This window comes from Homo sapiens, chromosome 2, assembly GCF_000001405.40.
Source record: "Homo sapiens chromosome 2, GRCh38.p14 Primary Assembly".
NCBI lineage: Eukaryota > Metazoa > Chordata > Mammalia > Primates > Hominidae > Homo > Homo sapiens.
Genome location: NC_000002.12, coordinates 70,877,606 through 70,884,533, shown reverse-complemented (window position 1 = coordinate 70,884,533; position 6,928 = coordinate 70,877,606).

Below are 6,928 nucleotides of genomic sequence, written 5' to 3'. Positions count from 1 at the left end.
TTATTTTGTATTTCTAACAAACAAGGACATTCTCCCTTGAAATCGCAATGCAATCATCAAAATTAGAAAATTAATGCTATCACAATTGACTCCTCAGACCCCCTTGTCAATGGTTCTGCAAATGTCCTTTATTATCAAAAGGATGCAGTAAAGATGTATTGCAGTCAGTTGTCACGTCTCTTTAGTCTCCTTCAATCTGTGACAGTTAGTTCCAGTCTTTGACTTTCACGGCCAGTTATTATGTAGAAAGCCCCTCGGTGTGGATTTATCTCATGTTTCCTCACAATTCAATTCAGACTATGCATCTTTGGCAGGAATATCACAGAAGTGATATTGAATTCTTCTCATTGTGTCCTATCAGATGGTACATGATTTTGATATATCCTGTACTGGTGATGTTAACTTTGATCATTTGAGTGAGAATTAAGTTTCTCCCTGTAAGGTTATTTTTCCCTTTGCATTTAATAAGTATTTTGCAGGGAGGAACTTTTAGACTATCTATATATCCTGCCCCTCATCAAGCTCTTTGTGCATTGTTTAGATCAATATCAACAAATGGATTCCTAATGTATTCAATAGGCTATATTTTGTTACTATATTATTTATTTAATTTGTGAATTGTCCCAAATGTCCTTTTTTGGGGGTAATAGCTTTATTGAGATATCATTCATGTATCATACACTTCACCTATTTAAAATACACTGTGTAATGTTTTTTAATATGTATATTCACAGAGTTGTACAACCACTCCTATAATCAATTTTAGAACATTTTCATCATCCCCAAAAGAAATCCCATTCCTGTTAGCTTTCACCTCCCAATTCTCCCATCCCTGCCAGCCCTAGGTAACTATCTACATTGTGTCTCTATAGATTTGCCTATTCTGAACATATCATATAAATGGAATTGTTCAATATATGGTCTTTTGTGACTGACTTCTTTCCCTTACCATAATGTTTTCAAGGTTCATCCGTATTGTAGCATAAATCAGTACTTCATTTTTAATGGATGAATAATTCCATTGTATGGACATACCACAGTTTATCTATTCGTCAGTTGATGGACATTTGGGTTGTTTCCACTGTTTAGCTATTATGAATACATCCTGCTGTGAATGTTCTTGGAGAAGTTTTCGGTGGCCATATATTTTCATATCTCTTGGGTACATACCTAGGAGTGGAATTGCTAGGTCAAACAACTAATTCTATCTTTAAATTTTTGAGGACCTACCGCACTGTCTTCCAAAGTGGCTGTCCCATTTTACATTTTCCCCTAGCAATGAATAAGAATTCCAATTGTTCCACATCCTTGGCAACACTTGTTATTGTCTGTTTTTTCAATTATAGCCATCCTAGTGGATGTGACTTTGTATTTCAATGTGGTTCTTATTTGCATTTCCCTGATGACTAATGATGTTGTCTATCTTTTCATGTGTTTCTTGGCCATTTGTATATCTTCTGTAAAGAAATATCTATTTATGTCCTTTGCTCTTTTTCACATTGGGTTATTTGTTTTTATATTATTGAGTTTTATTATTTATTATTTATATTTTTAAGGTAGAGTCCTCTAGTTGCACAGGTTGGAGTGCAGTGGTGCAATCATAGCTCTCTGCAGCCTCGAAATCCTGGGCTCAAGTGATCCTCTCACCTCAGCCTCCTGAGGAGCCAGGACTACTGGTGTGCACCACCATGCCCAGTTAATTTCCCATTTTTTGTAGAGACAGAGTCCTCCTATATTGCCCAGGCTGGAAGAGCTTTTTCTAGTTTTCTTCTTTTCTGTATTTATGCTACCTTCTCGAACAGTGAGAAATCTGTCTCCTATTTTCCTCAGTATGTATATTTGATCAGTTTCCTGGTGTGTAACGAGTTTCCTGTGGCTGCATTGCCTCTCTGTGCCCCACCCCCACTGAGGAGACTCTGCTCACCCCACTGTGGCTGAGGTATCTGATGCTGACACTGTGTGGATGTCTCCCTGCTTGGATCCCAACACACCCATGCGGATTCACCATGGCAGACACTCTCCCTTATGGGGATGCTTACCTTGCTTGGCCCTACCTAATGGCTTTTGGATGACATTTTCAGGAAGGGAAGAGCAACTATATATATATATAAAAAATTGTATTTTTTTTGCCACATCAATTGACTCTTTTTTTTATGAGAGATTTCTCTGTAGCATGAGATGCTGTTTGACAGCATTTTACCCACGATAGAACTTCTTTCAAAATTGGAATCAGTTTTCTCAAACTCTGCTGCTGCTTTATCAACTAAGTGTATGTAATATTCTAAACCCTTTGTTGCCATTGCAAATAATGTTCACAACATCTTCACTGGAAGTAGATTCCATCTCAAGAAACCACTTTCTTTGCTCAACCATAAGAAGCAACTCCTCATTCATTCAAGTTTTATCATGAGATTGCAGCAATTCAGTCGCATCTTCAGGCTTCACTTCTTTTTTCTTTTTTATACTTTAAGTTCTAGGTACATATGCATAACATGCAGGTTTGATACATAGGTATACATGTACCATGTTGGTTTGCTGCACCCATCAACTCATCATTTACATTAGGTATTTCTTCTAATGCTATCCCTTCCCCAACCCCCCACCCCCTGAGAGGCCCCGGTGTGTGATGTTCCCCACCCTGTGTCCAAGTGATCTCGTTGTTCAATTCCCACCTATGAGTGAGAAAATGCAGTGTTTGGTTTTCTGTCCTTGTGATAGTTTGCTGAGAATGATGGTTTCCAGCTTCATCCATGTCCCTGCAAAGGACATGAACTCATCCTTTTTTTATGGCTGCATAGTATTCTGTGGTGTATATGTGCCACATTTTCTTAATCCAGTCTATCATTGATGGACATTTGGGTTGGTTCCAAGTCTTTGCTGTTGAATAGTGTTGCAATAAACATACGTGTGCATGTGTCTTTATAGCAGCATGATTTATAATCCTTTGGGTATATACTCAGTAATGGGATCGCTGGGTCAAATGGTAACTCTAGTTCTAGATCCTTGAGGAATTGCCACACTGTCTTCCACAATGGTTGAACTAATTTACACTCCCACCAACAGTATAAAAGCATTCCTATTTCTCCACATCCTCTCCAGCATCTGTTGTTTCCTGACTTTTTAATGATTGCCATTCTAACTGGCATGAGATGGTATCTCATTGTGGTTTTGATTTGCATTTCTCTAATGACCAGTGATGACGAGCATTTTTTCATGTGTCTGTTGGTTGCATAGATGTCTTCTTTTGAGAAGTGTCTGTTCATGTCCTTTGCCCACTTTTTGATGGGATTGTTTGTTTTTTTCTTGTAAATTTGTTTGAGTTCTTTGTAGATTCTGGATATTAGCCCTTTGTCAGATGGGTAGATTGCAAAAATTTTCTCCCATTCTGTAGGTTGGCTGTTCACTCTGATGGTAGTTTCTTTTGCTGTGCAGAAGCTCTTTAGTTTAATCAGATCCCATTTGTCTATTTTGGCTTTTGTTGCCATTGCTTTTGGTGTTTTAGTCATGAAGTCCTTGCCCATGCCTATGTCCTGAATGGTATTGCCTAGGTTTTCTTCTAGGGTGTTTATGATTTTAAGTCTAACATTTAAGTCTTTACTCCATCTTGAGTTAATTTTTGTGTAAGGTGTAAGGAAGGGATCCAGTTTCAGCTTTCTACATATGGCTAACCTGTTTTCCCAGCACCATTTATTAAATAGGGAATCCTTTCCCCATTTCTTGTTTTTGTCAAAGATCAAATAGTTGTAGATGTGTGGTGTTATTTCTAAGGGCTCTGTTCTGTTCCATTGGTCTATATGTCTGTTTTGGTACCAGTACCGTGCTGTTTTGGTTACTGTAGGCTTGTAGTGCAGTTTAAAGTCAGGTAGCATGATGCCTCCAGCTTTGTTCTTTTTGCTTAGGATTGTCTTGTCAATGCAGGCTCTTTTTTGGTTCCATAAGAACTTTAAAGCAGTTTTTTCCAATTCCCTGAAGAAAGTCATTTGTAGCTTCATGGGGATGGCATTGAATCTATGAATTACTTTGGGTAGTATGGCCATTTTCATGATATTGATTCTTCCTATCCATTAGCATGGAATATTCTTTCATTTGTTTGTGTCCTCTTTTATTTCATTGAGCTGTGGTTTGTAGTTCTCCTTGAAGAGGTCCTTCACATCCCTTGTAAGTTGGATTCCTAGGAATTTTATTCTCTTTGCAGCAATTGTGAATGGGAGTTCACTCATGATTTGGCTCTCTGTTTGTCTGTTAATGGTGTAGAGGAATGCCTGTGGTTTTTGCACATTGATTTTGTATCCTGAGACTTTGGTGAAGTTGTTTATCAGCTTAAGGAGATTTTGGGCTGAGATGATGGAGTTTTCTAAATATACAATCATGTCATCTGCAAACAGGGACAATTTGACTTCCTCTTCTCCTAATTGAATACCCTTTATTTCTTTCTCTTGCCTAATTGCCCTGGCCAGAACTTCCAACACTATGTTGAATAGGGGTGGTGAGAGAGGGCATCCTTGTCTTGTGCCTGTTTTCAAAGGGAATGCTTCCAGTTTTTGCCCATTCAGTATGATATTGGCTGTGAGTTTGTCATAAATAGCTCTTATTATTTTGAGATATGTTCCATCAACATCTAGTTTATTGAGAGTTTTTAGCATGAAGCACTGTTGAATTTTGTCAAAGGCCTTTCTGCATCTATTGAGATAATCAAGTGGTTTTTGTCATTGGTTCTGTTTATGTGACGGATTATGTTCATTAATTTGCATACGTTGAACCAGCCTTGCTACATTTATTGATTTGCATATGTTGAACCAGCCTTGCATCCCAGGGACGAAGCTGACTTGATCATGGTGGATAAGCTTTTTGATGTGCTGCTGGATTCGGTTTGCCAGTATTTTCTTGAGGATTTTCGCATTGATGTTCATCAGGGATATTGGTCTAAAATTCTCTTTTTTTGTTGTGTCTCTGCCAGGCTTTGGTATCAGGATGATGTTGGCCTCATAAAATGAGTTAGGGAGGATTCCCTCTTTCTCTATTGATTGGAATAATTTCAGAAGGAATGGTACCAGCTCCTCTTTGTACCACTGTTAGAATTCGGCTGTGAATCCATCTGGTCCTGGACTATTTTGGGGTGGTGGGCTATTAATTATTGCCTCAGTTTCAGAGCCTGTTATTGGTCTGTTCAGAGATTCAACTTCTTCCTGGTTTAGTCTTGGGAGGGTGTATGTGTGCAGGAATTTATCCATTTCTTCTAGATTTCCTAGTTTATTTGCACAGAGGTGTTTATAGTATTCTCTGATGGTAGTTTGTATTTCTGTGGGATTGGTGGTGATATCCCCTTTATCATTTTTTACTGCATCTATTTGATTCTTCTCTCTTTTCTTGTTAGTCTTGCTAGTGGTCTATCAATTTTGTTGATCTTTTCAAGAAACCAGCTCCTGGATTTATTGATTTTCTTAAGGGTTTTTTGTCTCTCTATCTCTTTCAGTTCTGCTCTGATCTTAGTTATTTCTTGCCTTCTGCTAGCTTTTGAATTTGTTTGCTCTTGCTTCTCTAGTTCTTTTAGTTGTGTTGCTAGGGTGTTGATTTTTGAACTTTCCTGCTTTCTCTTGTGGGCATTTAGTGCTATAAATTTCCCTCTACACACTGCTTTAAATGTGTCCCAGAGATTCTGGTACGTTGTGTCATTGTTCTCATTGGTTTCAAAGAACATCTTTATTTCTGCTTTCATTTCGTTATTTATGCATTAGTCATTCTGCAACAAGTTGTTCAGTTTCCAAGTAGTTGTGCAGTTTTGAGTGAGTTTCTGAATCCTGAGTTCTAATTTGATTGCACTGTGGTCTGAGAAACAGTTTGTTGTGATTTCTGTTCTTTTACGTTTGCTGATGAGTGTTTTACTTCCAATTATGTGGTCAATTTTAGAATAAGTGTGATGTGGTGCTGAGAAAAATGTATATTCTGTTGATTTGGGGTGGAGAGCTCTGTAGATGTCTATTAGGTCTGCCTGGTGCAGAGCTGAGTTCAGGTCCTGGATATCCTTGTTAACCTTCTGTGTCACTGATCTGTCTAATATTGACAGTTGGGTGTTAAAGTCTCCTGTTATTATTGTGTGGGAGTCTAAGTCTCTTTGTAGGTCTCTAAGGACTTGCTTTATGAATCTGGGTGCTCCTGTATTGGCTGCATATATATTTAGGATAGTTAACTCTTCCAGTTGAATTGATCCCTTTACCATTATGTAATGACCTTCTTTGTCTCTTTTGATCTCTGTTGGTTTAAAATCTGTTTTATCAGAGACTAGGATTGCAACCCCTGCTTTTTTTTTTTTTTCTTTTGCTTTACATTTGCTTGGTGGATCTTCCCCCATCCCTTTATTTTGAGCCTATGTATGTCTCTGCATGTGAGCTGGGTCTCTTGAATACAGCACACTGATGGGTCTTGACTCTTTGTCCAATTTGCCAGTCTGTGTCCTTTAACTGGGGCATTTAGCCCATTTACTTTTAAGGTCAATATTGTTATGTGTGAATTTGATCCTGTCTTTATGATGTTAGCTGGTTATTTTGCCTGTTAGTTGATTCAGTTTCTTCCTAGCATTGATGGTCTTTACAATTTGGCATGTTGTTGCAGTGGCTGGTACCAGTTGTTCCTTTCCATGCTTAGTGCTTCCTTCAGGAGCTCTCGTAAGGCAGGTCTGGTGGTGACAAAATCTCTCAGCATTTGCTTGTCTGTAAAGGATTTTATTTCTCCTTCACTTATGAAGCTTAGTTTGGCTGGATATGAAATTCTGGTTGAAAATTCTTTTCTTTAATAATGTTGAATATTGGCCCCCACTCTCTTCTGGCTTGTAAGGTTTTTGCTGAGAGATCTGCTGTTAGTCTGATGGGCTTCCCTTTCTGGGTAACTCGACCTTCCTCTCTGGCTGCCCTTAACACTTTTTCCTTCATTT